We start from the raw sequence: 18,870 nt of genomic DNA on the forward strand, positions 1-18,870 counted from the left end.
ACTCATTGAGGTGAGTCAGTTCTAATGTTTTTTAAATCAACAACAGAATTTTACAATAATTCTTAAAAGTGAATCATAATATTATTAAATGTTTATGAATGTTTACAAATGACAGCATTTTTGGAGGAAACATGCCTTCACAGCTTTGAACTCATTAAGAGGTTCTATTCTGGTGACATTCCAGCAGGTCTTAGTTTCTAGTCCAAATAAATTCATTATTCCTATGAATGTGCGATACCAGGCAGCTATGATTACCTTAAAAAAGATAAAAACAAAGAGATAATTGAGGTAAATACATTCTCTTCATAATAATAATAATAATAATAATATATACCATGGAATACTATGCAGCCATAAAAAAGGATGAGTTCATGTCCTTTGTAGGGACGTGGATGAAGCTGGAAACCATCATTCTTGGCAAACTATCGCAAGGACAAAAAAACCAAACACCGCATGTTTTGATATTAAAAAGCTTTATAGATTCAATGCTCTACCAGTCAAAATTCCAACATATTTTTTGTTGACTTTGATGAGCTGATTTAAAAGTTATTCAGAAATGCAAAGGGCCAAATATAGTCAAGGTATTCTTGAAAAAGGAGGATTTGCACTATCAATTGTTGCTGTATTATAAAGCTAATGTAAAAAGACACTATGATATTGGCATAGCAATAGTCGAATAGATAACTGCAATAGAGTAGAGCCCAGAAGCAGAAATGTACATTTAGAAATGTACCATAACTCATATGGTTATGAGTTCCGTGGGCTCTCTTTGTGCCTCATTTTCTCAGATTTGGAGTTAAAGAGGCTGGCAATCCAGAAATGCCAATGGGCACTGCTATAGTTTGAATGTGTCCCATCCAAAATTCAGGTATTGAAACTTAATGGCCAATGTGATAGTATTAACAGATGGGACCTGCAAGAGGTGATTAGACCATGAAGATTCCCCCCTCATGAGTGAGATTAAAGCTGTCTTACTCTCCTACTGTCTGCCATGTGAGGACACAGTGTTCCTCTCCTTCAGAAGATGCAACATCAAGGCACCATCTTGGAAGCGGAGAGCAGCCTTCACCAGACACCAAATCTGCTGGTGCCTTGATCTTGGACTTCCTTGGACTCCAGAATTCTTAGACTCCATAATTGTGAGATATAAATTTCTATTCTTTATAAATTACCTAGTCTCAGATACTTTGTTCAAACAGCACAAAACAGACTAAGACAAATATACAAAAAGTACCCAAAAAGTCAAAAGTAAAAAAAATGTGGCTCTACCCCTACCGTATAAACAAAGGCCAAGTGGGGAAGCTAGACTTCCACCTTCCCTGGGCTTTTTTTTTTTTTCTGGGGATGGAGTCTCACTCTTTTCACTCAGGCTGGAGTGCAGTGGCGTGATCTTGGCTCACTGCAACCTCTTCCTCCTGGGTTCAAGCCAATTCTCCCGCCTCAGCCTCCCAAGTGGCTGGGATTACAAGTGCCCACTACCATGCCTGGCTAATTTTTGTATATTTAGTAGAGACAGGGTTTCACCATGTTGGCCAGGCTGGTCTCAAACTCCTGACCTCAGGTGATCCTGAAAGCAACAAGATGGTGCCTTCCCCCTTTTCCCCTTCCTTTGCTTGAGTGATACCAGAGGTATCTAGTTAAAATAGCAGGTTTAAATAAAATCCAGTCTCATAACATAATACTCAAAATGTCTAGGTTTCAAGTGAAAATCACTCATCAGGAACCAGAAAGATCTCAAACTGAATGAGAAATAAATGGATTCCAATACTGAGATGAAAGAAATATTAGCATTATCAAGGATTTTAAAGCAACAATCATAAATATACTCTAATGAGCATGCTTAAAACAAAGGGAAAAATTGAAAAGTTTACCAGAGAAATAGTCTCAGCAAAAAAACAGAAATCAATACTAAGAACATCTCTCAAAACACATAAGTACATGGAATTTAAACAACCTGCTCCTGAATGACTTTTTGAGTCAACAAAGAAATTAAGGTAGAAATCAAGAAATTCTTTGAAACTAATGAAAATAAAGATACAACATACCAGGATCGCTGGAACACAGCTAAAGCAGTGTTAAGAGGCAAATTTACAGAGCTAAATGCCCACTTCAAAAAGTTAGAAAGATCTCAAATTAACAACCTAACATCACACCTAGAGGAACCAGAAAAATAAGAGCAAAACAACCCAAAATCTAGCAGAAGACAAGAAATAACCAAATCAGAGATGAACTGAATGAAATTGAGACACAAAACACCATACAAAAGATCAACAAAACCACAAGTTGGTTCTTTGAAAGAATAAATTTAATAGACCACCAGCTAGACTAATAAAGAAAAAGAGAGAGAAGACCCAAATAAACACAATCAGAAATGACAAAAGAGATATTACCATTGACCCTGTAGAAAAGCAAAAAACTCTGAGAGACTATTACGAACAACTCTATGGACACAAACTGGAAAACCTAGAAGAAATGGCTAAATTCCTGGAAATATATAACCTCCAAAGATTTAACCAAGAAGAAATGAAAACCCTGAATAGACCAATAACAAGTTCCAAGACTGAATCACCAATAAAAAGCCTACCAGCCAGAAAAAGCCCTGGAACAGATGACTTCACAGCCAAATTCTACCAGACATATAAGGAGAGCGGATACCAATCATACTGAAACTATTCCAAAAACTTGAGGGATTTCTCCCTTACTCATTCTATAAGGCTAACATCATTCTGATGCCAAAATGTGGCAAAGCCACAATGTAAAAAAGAAAACTTCAGGCCAATATCTCTGATGAACATAGATGCAAAATCCTCAACAAAATACTAGCATACTGAATCCATCAGCACATCAAAAAGCTAATCCACCACAATCAAGTAGGCTTTATTCCTAGGATGCAAGGGTGGTTCAACACAGGCAAATCAATAATTATGATTGATCACATAAAAGAACTAAAAAAAAACCCCACATGATTATCTAAATAGATGCAGAAAAGGCTTTTGATAAAATTCAACATCCTTTCATTTTAAAAGCCTTCAACAAAGTAGGCATTGAAGGAACATACCTCAAAATTATAAGAGCCATCTATGAAAAACCCATAGCCAACACCATACTGAACAGGCAAAAGCTAGAAGCATTTGCCTTGAGAACTGGAACAACAAAAGGATGTTTACTCTCCCCATTCCTATTCAACATAGTACTGGAGGTCCCAGCCAGAGCAATCAGGCAAAAGAAAGAAAGAAAATAAATCCACATAGGAAGACAGGAATTCACACTATCTTTTTTGTAAACAATACAATTTTATACCTAGAAAGCCCCACAGTCTCTGACTAAAAGCTCCTAGATGTGTCTTTTTAAAACTTCAGCAAACTTTCCGGATGTAAAATCAATGTACCAAAGTCAGTAGTATTTCTATGCACCAACAATGTCCAAGCTGGGAGCCAAATCAAGAATGCAATCTCATTCACAATAGCCACAGAAAAGTAATAAAAAACTTATAAAAGAATACCTAGGAATACAGCTAATTAGAGAGGAGAAAAATCTCTACAATGAGAATTACAAAACACTGCTGAAAGAAATCAGAGGCAATAAAAACAAATGGAAAAACATTCTATGCTCATGAATAGGAAGATTCAATATTGTTAAAATCACCATATTACCAAAAGCAATTTACAGATTCAATGCTATTCCTATCAAACTACCAATGACATTTTTCACATAATTAGAAAAACTATTCTAAAACTTATATGGATACTCCTTCAACGTAAATAAGGTTAAAATAAATAAATAAGTAAATAAAATAAAACACATATGAAACCAAAAAATAGTTCAAATAGCCAAAGCAATCCTAAGCAAAAAGGACAAAGCCAGAGGCATCATACTACCCAACTTCAAGCTATATTTCAAGGCTACAATAACCAAAACAGCATGGTGCTAGCACAAAAACACACACATAGACCAATGGAACAGAATAGAGAGCCCAGAAATAAAGTCACACACCTAGAACCATCTGATTTTCAACAAACCTGATAACACAAGTCAATAGGAAAAAGGACTTCTTATTCAATAAATGATGCTGGGATAACTGGCTAGCCATATGCAGAAGACTGAAACTTCACCTTTCTTTTCCCCATACACAAAAATCAACTCAAGATGAATTAAAGACTGAAATGTAAAACCTAAAACAATGAAAACCCTAGAAGAAAACATAGAAAATACCATTTTGGACATAGACCCTGGCAAAAATTTCATGACGAAGATGCCAAAAGCAATTGTAACAAAACAAAGATTGACAAATGCAACCTAATTAAATTAAAGAGCTTCTGCATAGCAAAAGAAACTACCAAGAGAGTAAACAGACAACCTACAGAAAGGGAGAAAATATTTGCAAACTGTTCATCTGACAAAGGTCTAATATCCAGAATCCATAAGGAACAAATCGAAAGTAAAAAAAAAAACCCCATTAAAAAATGGGTACTCCGTGCCACTCCCAGTCACAGCCTCCCATGCCTTGCTCAGCTCCAACATGGCAAAAATCTCCAGCCCTACAGAGACTGTGCGGTGCATTCAGTCCCTGATTGCTGTTTTCCAGAAGTATGCTGGAAAGGATGGTTACAACTGCAATCTCTCCAAGACGGAGTTCCTAAGCTTCATGAATACAGAGCTGGCTGCCTTTACAAAGAACCAGAAGGACCCCGGTGTCCTTGACCGCATGAAGAAACTGGATGTCAGCAGCGATGGGCAGTTAGATTTCCCAAAATTTCTTAATCTGATTGGTGGCCTAGCTGTGGCTTGCCATGACTCCTTCCTCAAGGCTGTCCCTTCCCAGAAGTGGACCTGAGGACCCCTTGGGCCTGGCCTTCAAACCCACCCCCTTTCCTTCCAGCCTTTCTGTCATCATCTCCTCCTCACAGCCCACATGTCCCCTGAGCCCAGCATACCTACCACATCATGCAGGCCCCACCTGTGGATAGTAATAATACAATGTCACTTTTTTAAAACATGAAAAAAAAAGTGGGTGAAGGACATAAACACAAATTTCTCAAAATTAGATATTTATGTGGCCATCAATCATATGAAAAAGTGTTCAACATCACTGATCATTACAGAAATGCAAATCAAAACCACACTAACCCAATCGGAATGGCTATTATTAAAAAGTCAAAAAATAACAGATGCTGGTGAGGTTGTGGAGAAAAGGGGATGCTTATACACTGCTGGTGGGAACGTAAACTAGTTCAAACACTGTGGAAAGCAGTTTGGAAATTTCTCAGAGAACTTAAAACTGAACTACCATTTGACCCAGCAACCCCATTACTAGGTATATACCCAAAGGAATATAAATTAGCCTACCATAAAGACACATGCACATGTATGTTCACTGCAGCACTATTCACAATAGCAAATAGCAAAGACATGGAATCAACCTAAATGCCATCAATAGTGGAACGGATAAAGAAAATGTGTTGGTACATATACCCCATGAATATTATGCAGCCATTATAAAGAACAAGATAATGTCCTTTGCAGCAACATGGAAGGAGTTAGAGGCCAGTATGCTAAGTGAATTAATGCAGGAACGGAAAACTAAATACTGTGTGTTCTCACTTATAAGCGAAGCTAAACACTGAGTACACATGGACACAAAGAAGGGAACAACAGACACTGGGGCCTACTTGAGGGTGAAGGGTATGAGGAGGGTGAAGACTGAATAACTGCGTATTGAGTACTATGCTTATTACCTGGGTGCCAAAATACTCCATACACCAAACCCCCACTGCATGCAATTTACCTATACAGCAAACCCACACATGTATCCCATGAACCTAAAATAGAAGTTGGAAGAAGAAAAAGTGTCAGCAGAAAAATAGAACACATAAAGAAAAGTCAAAATTTTCAGAGCTCAAAAATAAAATAATCAAAATAAAAAACCTTAATGGATGGCACAAGAGGAGAATGGCAGAGATAGAAGAAAATAACCAGTAAACTAGAAGACAGAAAAATAGAAATTACTCAATCTGAGCAAAAGAGAAAAATCAGATGCTAACAGAATAAACAAACAAAACAGCCCTAGGGACCTGTGGAACTTTAACAAAGGATCCTACATTCATGTCACTGGAGTCTTGGAAGGAGACGGGAAAGAGGCAGGGCTGAAAAAGAATTCAAGGAAATAATTACTGAGGCTGGTCCCGGTGGTTCATGCCTGTAATCCCAGCAGTTTGGGTGGCCAGGGCAGGCAGATTGCTTGAGCCCAGGAGTTCGAGACCAGCCTGAGCAACATAGTAAAACCCCATGTCTACAAAAAATTAAGAAAAATTAGCCAGGTATGGTGGTTGCGCATCTCAGGAGGCTGAGGTGGGCAGATCCCTTGATTCCAGGAGTCAGAGGTTGCAGTGAGCTGAGATTTCACCACTGCACTCCAGCCTGGGCGACAGAGTGAGATCCTGTCTCAAAATAAATAAATAAATACATACATAAATAAATAAAAAAAGAAAGAAAAAGAAATAATGACTGGACTTCCTATATATGGCAAAAGATATAAACCTAAATATTCAAGGAGCTGAGCAAATCTCAAACAGAAAAAATCTAAACAAATCCACACTAAAACACAACATACTTTAGAAAACATTTGAACTTTGAACATTATACTTTGATACACTTTTGAAGACTAAATTTAAAAAAATACTGAAACCAACAAGAGAGAAACAAAACCTTACCTAAAGGAGAAAAAGAATTCAACTAACAGCAGATTTATCATTAGAAACTATGGAGGGCCAGAACAAAATGGCACAACACTTGCTGAATGCTGAAAGAAAGGAACTATCGACCCAGAATCCTATCTCCAGCAAAAATATCCTTCAGTAATGAAAAGCAACTGCATTCTCTGAGTTAAGAAAAACTAAAAAAAATTTTAAAAAAATTTAAAAATTAAACAAAAAATGCACAATGTGCACATGTACCCTAAAACTTAAAGTATAATAAAAAAAAATGCAGCCAGCAGAACTTTTACAACAGACATCTATTCTAAAAGTGTAGCTAAAGAAAATCCCCTAAACCGAAATGAAATGATAAAAGAAGGAATGTTGGAACATCAAAGAGGAAGAAATAAAAAACATGGATAAAATAAAACAGGCTTTCACTTTCTTCCTGAGTTTATAAAATGTGTGTAAAACTTGAGTTTAAAATAAGTTTGATGATTAAAACATACAGTAAAATGACAGCAGCAACAGATTGTAATAAATTGTGTTAATACAATCGCTAGAACCACTAAAAAAAGCTTTGTAAAGTGATATATTTAAAAAATAGATAAATCAAAATATAACTCTAAACAATGTTCAAATGAAATGTTCTGCCACAAGAAGGTTAAAATAAAAGCAAACAGAAATTGAAAACCAAGAATAGAAACCACAAAATAAAATCACAGACTTAAACTCTAACATATTAATAACTATATTAGATGTAAGTGGTCAATTGGTAAACATACCAATTAAGAGATACACTGACAAATTGGATTTAAAAATATTACCCAACCGTTTACAAGGAACTTGCTTCAAATATAATAATAAAGTCAGGCTGAAAGTGAAAGGATGGACAATGATGAATTTATCATACATACAGTAATGAAAAGAAAGCAGAAGTGACGATGTCATTATCAGAAAAAAGCACACTTCAGAGGAAGCAAAATTATCAGAGAAGGAAGAAAAAGTCATCGTTAAATTATTTTTTAAAAAATTCAACAAGAAGACCCTGCAATCCTAAATGCATATGCGCCAAACATAGAGCTACAAAATATGTGAAGAAAAACAGATAGGTGTCAATGGAGAAATGTACATATACCTAATTTTACTAGCAGACTTCAGAATCCCTCTGCCAAAAAACTAGAATTAGTATTTTCAACTAATTCTTTTAGTTGATAGAAGAACTAGACAGAAATTCCCCCAAAATTGAGACAAACTCAACAACACTATACAAAAGACCCTGTTTAAGAGAATGAAAAGGCAAGCTACAGACTGGGAAAATATATTTGCAAGCCATATATATGAAAAATAATTAGCATCTATAATATGTAAGGAACATCCTAAGATCCAAAATTCATAAAACAAACAATTCAAATAGAAATGGAGCAAAATACATAAAGACACGTTTCACATACGGATGGCAAATAAGCACAAAAAGATGTACACCATCATTAGCCAATAGGGAAATGCAAATTAAAACCATAATGATACATCACTACATATGTGTAAGAATAAGTAAAATAAAAAATAGTGACAATACCAAATGCAGGTAAGGATACAGATAAACCTAATTTTGGTTGTGCTTAGGTTGTATCTATTGACTACTGAGTATGTAGCACAAGGAAATTTGCATAGTTTCATTCATTCAACAAATATGATATTGAATCAACTCCATATTCCAGGAAGTAGGCACCTGGGATACAGCTAGGAAATACATAATAGGCCCGGGAAAACAGTAGAAAACAAGGTCATTTGCTGAGAGTGAAAGGGGGACAGGAGGTTTGGGATAACTGGAGAGAGAAGATATGGAAACGGGCATCAAGGGGTTAGCAAAAGGCTCAAGGACCATATCAGGGCCTGTGGCCTATTTTTGTACCAGTAATGTGAAAAGGACATTGTTACCTTCCCCCCAGCAGTTTAAGATAATAGAGTGTAAGACTTATAGGGGAGATAAGGAAGAGGGGGGTGGGTGGGTTTCCTGCCTTTCTTTAAGTGGCTCCTGTTCTCCCAGGCTTTACCATGGAGGATGCTTTCTGAGCACTCTTGCTAATCTTTTGTCAGCACCTTATGAGGTCTGTGTAAAAATGTCTGTAAGCAATTGCAAATACCCTTGCTAACCCACACTAGGCATTTACCGACTGACTGGTGAACAATTTGAGCTGAATTCTTTACCATTGTGTCTAGTGGCATGACCCATGTAATTAAATGCTTGTTTCTGTTCTCCTTGCACATGCTTTATCTTTTTAATTTATTTTGGGTTATTTGATTGCCCTGTGACCTCAGCTCCCTGACTGCTTCAGGAAAAGTTGTAAATTTGAAGACTGTCTGGCTTTTGTTGTTGTTGCTGCTGACATTGCTGGAAGGCCACGAGCAATGTTCTTTTTGGCTTTCTACATCCAAGGGAAAGCTGACCTGACATGATTAAATCCAACTCTCCATTTTCTCCATGTTTATACTTGGGAATCTGATTATAGCTGGAGGAACACAATTCTGTTGGCTGGTTTTGTTCTCAATTCAAGACCATCCACCTCAAATGAAGCCCTTGGTGCTGCCCAAGAAACTCACATTATATCCCTAGTCTATTCATTCTGTTAGATAAGAGGTCAGCAAGCTTTTCCTATAAAGAGCCAGACGATAAGTATTTTAGGCTTTGTGAGATAGTCTCTGTCTCATACTCTTTAATGTGTTTACATTTACCCCTAGGTTTGCATATGCATGTTTGGTTTGTTTATCTATTCATTCATGCATTTGTTTGATATTTATCCTTTTTGATGTTCTCTGAGTTTCTTGGATCTGTGGTTTGGTATCTGTCACTAATTTTGGAAAATTCTCAGTCACTTATTTTTCAAATGTTTATTCTTCCTCATCCTTTCCTCTCCCACTGAGATTCTAATTATGCATATATTAGAATATTTGATATGGTGTCACAGCTCTTAGATGTTCTATCATTTCCTTCCTCCACTTTTTTTTCTCTTTGCATTCCTATTGACCTATCTTCAAACTCATTGATTATTTCTTCTGCTGTGCTGTGTCTGCTGATGAGCTCATGTAAGGCAATTTTTACTTCATTTTTTTTTATTTCTATCATTTCCCTTTGATTCTTACAGTGTCCAACTCTGCTAAAATTATCTATCTGCTCTTGCATATCATCTGTCTTTTCCATTTGGGTGTTTAAAATATTAATCATAGTTACTTAAATCTCCTGTCCAGTTGTTCCAGTATCTGTATCTTCTTTGGGTCCGCCTGATGACTGCTCTGTCTCTTTGGACTGTGCTTTTTCTTACCTTTAGGTATGCCTCATAATTTTTGCTGAAAGTTAGACATGTTGTATAAGACAGTAGACATAGAGGTCAGTATTTTTATGCTTGAAATTAAGAACATCTTTCTTACCGTTAGGTCTTTATTGTAGGGATTTGTGTTAATCTAGTTAGGGTGGGCTGGATTTGAAGTTTGTAATTGCTATAGTTAGCAAAGCTGGAGTTTGTTGCCGCTATGGACGCTAGTGATTTCAAATTCCTCTAGTGGTACCTTGTTTTGAACTTGGTTTTGGGTTTTCCTTTTTGCTGCTCCCTAGAAAGAAAATGCCTTGCAAAACTCACTCAGTCACATTCCACTGTGATTTTTACCAAAGGCTTGTTAATGTAATGGGGGAAGAGTGACAGGTTTTCTGATGTTCCAATTAAGCCTCAATCTTAGACAGGTACTGTGAATTTGTTATTTGGGGGCTGTACCCTTCATAAGTGTTCCCTCCTCAAGGAATGTGACTGTTTTTTAACATTTAGGTTTTTTTTTTTCCTGCCTGTTCTCTTTCACCAGCTTCACTGGATACCCACCAGTGTCCTCAGACAATGGGTTTGATACCGTTCTCCCTGCAGATCATGGCTTTCTTTTCCTTAGGAGAGATTTCACAACATGGGTGTGAGTAGAGTCCGAGCAATGATTGCTTTTCCTGTCCCCTAGCCAGCACCATAGGGAAAGCTTTCTCTAAATACTTCCCCAATCTTCCCTGACAGAGTCTGCTCACCTTCACATTTCATACCAGCTCACAATAAGCCTGTAGCAGTTCATTAAAAAAATTTCTGGTTTAATCTTTGTACCAGCTTATATGGCATTCAAAAGCATCTATCTCAGTCAAGCAGTTCCTATTCCAGAATGCTCAGTTCTTTGTGCTTTCTGCAGGCAACTGTCCTTCTTGAAATTTTGCGTTGGTTGTCCTCTGACCTCAGTTTTCTGAAGGGTTCAAGAATAGGTGTTATATTGCAGTTTGTCCAGCTATTTTCCTTGTTGTAGGAATGAGAGTGCCATCATTCCAGCTCTCTTCATCACCAAATTGACACCTGAAGCCTCCAGAAGCTAAATATATAAAGAATTAAGAGTTCTTTATATATTAGGTGTATTAGCCCTTTATCTGTGAGATATATTACAAATATTTTCTCCTGGCCAGGCATGGTGGCTCATGCCTGTAATCCCAGCACTTTGGGAGGCCGAGGCAGGAGGATCACTGGAGGCCAGGAGTTTGAGACCAGCCTGGCTAACATGGTGAAACCCCGTTTCTACTAAAAATATAAAAATTAGCCAGGCGTGGTGGTGCACATCTGTAATCCCAGCTATTCGGAGGCTGACGCTGGAGAATCGCTTGAACCCAAGAGGCAGAGGCTGCAGGGAGCCGAGATCACGCCACTGCACTTCAACCTGGGCAATGAAGTGAGACTCTGTCTCAAAACAAACAAAAAGAAACCAAACAAATATCTTTTCCCAGTTTGTCAACTGTCTTTTGATTTTGTTTATTTCTTTTCTTTTTTAAACTCTGCCCGGTTTTGCCTTTCCCATAGAAACCCCAATAAAAGTGATGGTCTAGGCTTTACCCTCAGTCCTGCTTCTGCCTGACCAAACTGTCTTTCTCCTGTGGCTCTGTGTGATGTGACTTGTCCTCTTCTCCAAGAAATTATTACTCATAAATTCTTCTTTAGCGGCACTGATCTATCTGTGTCATCACTCAGTCAACTGCATACATTAAGACCTAGGCACAGAACAACTCTGTTTCTATTTCTATAAAATTCTAGAAAATGCAAACTAAACCATAATGACAAAAAGAATATTAGTGGTTTCCTAGGGATGGGATGTGGGCAAAGAGAGATGAAGGAAGGAGGGATTACCAAGGAGCACAGGGAAACTTTGGGATGAGGGATATGCTCATTGTCTTGACTGGTGATGGTGTTACAGGTGGGCCAAAACTAATCAAACTTTACACTTCATCTATATGACCAGCTATCATATGTCAATTATACCTCAATAAAGCTGTTTAAAAACATTTAGGGTATATCTACTGGAAAGTAAAACTGCTTTTAATTACAGAATATATCATCACGTGCATAGAAAAATCCAAAGGATTCTACAAAAAAGCTACTAGAACCACTGACTTCATCGAGATGCAGGTACAAAGTTAATATTCAAAATCAACTATATTTCTATTCAAAAGCAACAAAAAATGGAAAAATAAAAATTTTAAAATAATACCATTTATAATAAAAGAGTACTGGGGAAGACTGTACATTGAAAAAATACGAAACATTGCTGAGACAAATTAAAAATAATCAACAAAATGGAGATCTATACCGTGATCGTGGATTGGAAAATTCAATATTGTTAAGATGTCAATTCTTCCCAAATACATGTACAAATCCAACATAATCCCAATCAAAATCACAGCAGGTTTTTTTTGAGAAATTAATAAGCTGACCCTAATATTTAGATAGAAATGCAATTTTAAAAAGGAAAAAGTTGGAGAACTATCTACTTTCAAGATTTATTCTAAAGTTACAGTAATCAAGACAGTGTGGTATTGGCATAATTATAGATCAAGAGAATAACAGAGTCCAGAAACAGATTCACATATAATGTGGTCAACCAATTTTCAACGATTGTACCGAGACAATTAATTCAATGGGGGAAAAGACAGTTACCACAATGGAGCATTTTTTGGCATTCCGAAAATGTTTTGTAACTCAATTGTGGTCATGGATATATAGCTTCATACATTTGTCAAAACTCAGAGAATGGTACACTCAAAATTGGCACATTTTATTACATGTAAGTCATACCTCAAAAAAGCTGATTTGGTGACAAAGATTTATATATGTTGTTGCTAGAAGAACAAATCCAAATGTTTATTAAACATGGAAATATATTTATCCCCATAAATAATAAGGGAGGTACAAATTAAAACAAAAAAGCATATCACAGCCATCATAAGAGTAAAAATCACAGGGTCTGACAACTCAAAATCTAATAAGGATATGAGAAAATTCTAGACAGCAGTGTGAACTGCCACATTTGCTTCAGACAGCAATTTACCAATATCTGGTAAAGCTGAAAAAGCACACACTGTATAACAACAATTCCATTTCTAGGTATATATCCTAGACAAAATATTGCACATATACAGAAGAAAACCATACAAAAATGTACATTTTAGATTACATTGCTTGTAATCAAAAATTTGGAAATAATATATTAAGATGGGGAAATACATAAACTTTACAATTCATAAAACGGTTAAAATTAAAGAAATATATATATACAGAAAGTTCAAAAATGCAATTTTGAAGAAAAAAATCCTACAGTGACACATTCAGTATGAGATCATTTATGTGGACTTAAAAGCATATAATAAAACAATCTCTGAAAACAGAGATTGGATGGATACACACACCAAATTTTAATAAAGGTATAAGTTGGACTAGGAGCAGAACAAAGGTGATTTTAACTGTATTTATAATATTTTAATTATTTTAAAATAGCTGATGCAAAAATGACAAAGATTAGCATTTATTTATTTTAAATGGTTGATCACACATATTTGAATATTATTTTCTAAGTCTGTAGCTTTAAGCATTTCAAAATCTAAAGAATAATAATTTTTAAAAGCTATAAAAATATGAATAAAGGACTAGAAAGCAGTAACTTTTCATTAATATGCTGGATTCTGAGACAACTTTAAACTCAACAGTAGTATTTACTATGGTGTCAAATTTAGCATTTATCTTGAGTTCACAAACTGAGTTCACTAATTTTGTCTCCGTTTTTCAAATTTCTAGCATTTATAGACTACTATAACAACCATACTCTTTTAGGCTAAGTGTTGGAAAATAGTAATAGATTTCTGGCTGTGTGACTAAATAAATCTTACTTTACTAACGTAACTCCAAGATCACTATTCAAGCTCATCACTCTCACTGTCCCTTCACGTGGTCATCGTGCTCACCCATGAGGTGTCCAAAGCCAAAAGCCCATCCCTATTTAGAACTTTTTGGCTCCCATGACTCTCTTTTCCATTTGGCTTGTCTATTACCCTGGCCATTATTTACACACTAAGTTTCATTCTTTGAGTTCATGAGAGAACAGTTTCTGGGGTCTTTAAATTTTAAGAGAGGAACTTATGATACTCTACTCAACTATAAGGATACATACAATTAGTAAACCTGAAACGTCCCCTCCCTTTCTTAACAAGATTGTGCTTACTATTTTTATCTGACAAAGAGGATCACTCTACAAATATTATTTGTCTCAAATTATGACTCACCTCTGGATAAAGATGGAAGCGTTTTACTGTATTAATTACAAGAGGATATTCAGTAAGCCTGTCATTCATAATCATCCACAGTCCTTCCAAAAATGAAGGTGCTTCAATGATGGTCTTGAAGTAGGAATAATAAAGTCCCTTTTTAAAAAAAAAAAAGGCACATATTGTCAATGGAATTAAAACTTTAAAATATTTATTTTTATCACTTCTTTAGAACTTTTTTTCTGAAAAAAAAAGTTAATAATAAGACTTCTTAATCACTCCTCGCTATTTTGCATTCTTGGACTTTAAAGAACACGTATTTTCAGGTGATCACTGTACTATTCTTTCAAATTTTCTATAGGCTTTCAAACTAAAGAGTTGGAGGGATGGTCAAACAATTTAAAGAGTTTCTCTAATAATGTCTTAAAATGTGTAGACAGTATATGTTTGATTTTCCCAAATCTGGTTTTATCCCCCACATTTGAGATGCTTGAAGGTTGATATCTGATTAATTCTATCATAAACAGGGATGCCTTCATGCCTCTGTACAACTTTGCATATAGAAAATTACTTTTTTTCCCATGCTCTTAGGAAATAAAATATAATGACCATAAGCATCACGAGCAAGGAATCCAGTGCTTCTAGCTTAATTCATAGCTCCATCTAATCCTCTGTGCAAAGTGAAAGCTCAATGTCAATTGACTATTGTTGCTCACAAATGCTATGTACTAAAAAGCAGCTTATTTTAGTGTCTTATACTTCAGCATATAAAATAAAGGCTTCATTGGGATAGTAAAAGTGCTGTTGAGTTAAAATTCATGGATTAACAACAGCATGTTGTGTCTTATTTCCCCAACAATTTCTTGCTTTCACTCCTAAAATCTAAAAGCAAAAAAGGGCCACATTGTTTAAAATGCATTCTCCCTAAAAAATGCTATATGCTATAATCATATCTGCCTCATCCAACACGAGTAACTACTAAATTACAGGTCTGTTTTAGCTGATGTCTGAAAGGCCATTACCTCATAGTTGATTGGCAAAATATGAATTCATAAAGAATTTTCCTTTCTGCTTAGGAGGATAACAAAGCAATACAACAATTAAAGGATATCTAATATGCAAAAGACTATATTTAGGGAAATATTAAATATATAAATAAGTTACTAATAACAGCTATTGTTTTGTGTTAAGTATTCTGCTATGTGTTGCCATTCATTATCTCCCTTCATTTTCCCTAAACCCCTCTAAGGTTGGCATTATTTCTATTGAGCAGACGAGATTACTGAGAATCTGAGAGGTGACCTGACTAGCCATCATACAATAAAGCACAGAACTGCTATTAGAATCCAGCGATCTGTCACCAAAGTCCAGACTCTGCCACAGTTACGCTCTTTATTTAATAATATTTTATATTCTGTCTTTGGAAATACCTTTAAAATGTTCAAATGTCATACATATGTTAATGTATCCAATGCTTTGAAACTTTATAGGGGCAATATAGGGATGAAAATTAAAAAGCAGTGACTGAGGGGCCTGGCATAGGCAAAATCATAGAGACAGAAAATAGAGCTGGGTGTGATTAGTGTTTAGTGGGTAGAGTTTCTGTTTGGGATAGCAAAAAGTTCCGGATGTGGACAGTGGTAATAGTTGCAAGACAACATAAATGTACTTAATCTCACTGAATTGTATGCTTAAAGGATAAACATTGAAATTTTTTATTACAAATTTAAATCTAAGTTTTACCATAATTTAAACAAAAAGCAATGGCTAGACTGAGGAGAGCCAGTTTCAATGCTTCACTAGGCGCCCGACCAGCTGTGAGCAGATCTGGAAGATGGACGGTTGTGGTGTCTTCTAAATGTAAAATTGCGCAATTTTGGCATTTGCTATCCCACTTACTCCTCACAATAATTATGTGAGATATGTACGGCAGAAAACTCCATTTTAAAGATTAAGTATTGAAAAACAGAAAATTATTTAAAAATTATATCAAAAGTTATCTCTTAGAAGAGATTATCTTGAAATCAAAAGAGAGCCAAATAATAATCGTCATCATTAAAAGGCCCAGGTAAAACATGGGATCTCCTAACTGTAGCCAAAGAGAAAGCAATTTCTGATAACATCTCATTTCATTCCCCTTTATCACTTCTTCAGTGCTTTCTTTGTCCTCCTTCCTCAGCTATTATAATTCATCTTTATTATCTTAAAAAGAAGTCTGCATTAGGAAAGGGTGAGAGATAATGAAGTAAAAGAAAAATAATCTCAAACACTTTACTATTTAAATAATAAACCTGGGTTATAGCTTATGAAACAGTGCAATTCACCAAAAGTTCATTTCAATTCCTAATACATTTCTACCTCATAGTCTCGCTATTCTTAAACCACAAATTAATTCGTTAGAAGAAGAAATCTAACCATTTTAGTGCGAAAAGTCATCTCCCATTCCAAAGATGAGAGGTGAGAGAAATGACGATCATTTTCAAAAAGTGTTACTAAATGTAACCTAGAAAAAAATTAAGTATCATATTACAATAAGAACAAGTTTCAAAACTAACAGTAAAATAAGCAATAAGAAAGCCATAAAAAAGAAAACAATAAATTATTATAATATTAATTTTATAATTTGCCTACTAACTTGTATGTTTTTAGGCATTTATAATCCAGTATGGCACACACCTGAAACTCCTTAACTCAGTGGTTTTTAAGCTTAATTGTGGCCGGGTGCGTTGGCTCATGCCTGTAATTCCAGCACTTTAGGAGCCCGAGCCCGAGGCGGGCAGATCACTTGAGGTGAGGAGTTCGAGACCAGCCTTGCCAACATGGTGAAACCCCGTCTCTACTAAAAACACAAAAATTAGCCAGCCATGGTAGTGCATGTCTGTAATCCTGGCTGCTAGGGAGGCTGAGGCAGAAGAATTTCTTGAACCCAGGAGGTGGAGGTTGCAGTGAGCAGAGATCATGCCATTGCACTCCAGCCTGGGAGTCAGATAGAGGACTCTATCTCAAAAAAACAAACAAACAAAAAAAACACCTTAATTGTATATCTAAAATTCTTGTGGCTTTTTTCACCCTTCCTTCCATCCCAGGCCTCTAAATCAGAACAGAGGCAGGTTAGTGTTTGTTTTTTAAGTTTCAAGTGATTCTAATGTACCAGCCTTGGGAAATACCTCCGTAACTGTTGAAAAGGGTTCAGAATATAATTTTAAATAAAATTACCTTAGATCAAAGCAGACTTACAATAAGTATAATATCACATAAGGGATCAACTTTCAAGTGCCAAAGAATACAGGTGTGTACTTGAAGACCTTTTAGTAGTGAAACTCAACAGCTGTCGGCAGTGAAGAAAGGAGCATATGTGATAAACAAAATTAGCTGTGGCCAACAATTATGCTATAGCTAACTTATGTAGTCAGTACTTTCCAGTGAAGTTGAAAATAAAGCAAAGTTCCATATATTAACCCTGTTTTCCACTAACCCTTCTTTACATGTAGGCTATATGCCAGGTTACCAAAAACTGCAGGAATATTCCCTACCATTGCAGCCTCAGTTCTAACATCAAAAGCTCCCTGCAGACTAAATGTCTAGAGCAGCACTGTGTCAACAGAACATAGGAGCAGATCTCATACCTTCCAAGGGTAGAAATCACTGAGCACAGGTAAAAAGAAAATATTCCAGAAGGAAGTATTATTTTACAAATTTTTATAAACATTTTTGTAAAATAATGTACACAGACTTGCACACTGAAAGACTCAGAGCCATTTAACCATATAACCACTGCAGAATCTTTATCTTCTTTTTTACCTGATTTCCAATTGGCAGGTGTTACTAAAACTTTATCACCAAAGTTATTTCACTGGCTGAGTGTGGTGGCTCATGCCTGTAATCCCAACACTTTGAGAGGCCGAGGCAGGTGGATCATTTGAGGCCAGGAGTTTGACACCAGCCTGGCCAACATGGTGAAACCTTGTCTCCACCAAAAATACAACAAATTGGCTGGGTGTGGTGGTGCACACCTGTAATCCCAGCTACTTGGAAGGCTGAGGCACGAGGATCACTGGTGCCTGTGAGGCAGAGGTTGCAGTGAGTCAAGATCACGCCACTGCACTCCAGCCTCGGAGACAGAGCAAGACTCTGTCTCAAAAAAAAAAAAAAAAGTTATTTCACTAGCAACATATAATTACCATAAAATAAAGGAAGGTTTTAAATGAACTACACATGCAAAATACACTAGAGAAGCCAGATATTTAAAGAAACGTGTGGTGAATTATTTGGTAAAGCAAAAATATTTTAATTCGTAAGTTACTATTCCCCTAATGCATCTATTTTGTAAATGCTGTTTCACATATGAGGTTTGTAAAAAAGCAAAATACATGTATAAATTGGTGCACATAAAGATGTTCTACAAATATAGCCAGAAGTTATTGTTTTACTGTATGCAAAGAGTGATGGCGATTTTTAATTCAAAAGTTTTTAAATATTTCAAACTGAAACTAAATCTTACCAATGTAGAATTGCCACAAAGATGGCTGGAATAAAAAAAAAAGGAAAGTTATTAATAGCTGCTTTATTATAAAA

General features: G+C 35.9%; 2 pseudogenes across 1 annotated transcript in view; one reads left to right on the plus strand and one right to left on the minus strand.

Annotated features, from left to right (window-relative positions):
- The window catches only part of DPY19L2P1 (DPY19L2 pseudogene 1), a 106,187-nt pseudogene that overhangs the window by 84,716 nt on the left and 2,601 nt on the right, over positions 1–18,870 (minus strand). Inside the window, exons 2-5 of the transcript NR_002833.3 lie at positions 18,797–18,821; positions 16,711–16,798; positions 14,314–14,451; positions 136–255 (exon numbers count right to left, since the gene is read on the minus strand). The product of NR_002833.3 is annotated as a DPY19L2 pseudogene 1 (transcript). The remainder of the gene's footprint in view (positions 1–135; positions 256–14,313; positions 14,452–16,710; positions 16,799–18,796; positions 18,822–18,870) is intronic.
- On the plus strand, positions 4,471–5,000 carry S100A11P2 (S100A11 pseudogene 2; annotated as a pseudogene).

Source organism: Homo sapiens, chromosome 7 (genome assembly GCF_000001405.40).
Source record: "Homo sapiens chromosome 7, GRCh38.p14 Primary Assembly".
Classification (NCBI taxonomy): Eukaryota; Metazoa; Chordata; class Mammalia; order Primates; family Hominidae; genus Homo; species Homo sapiens.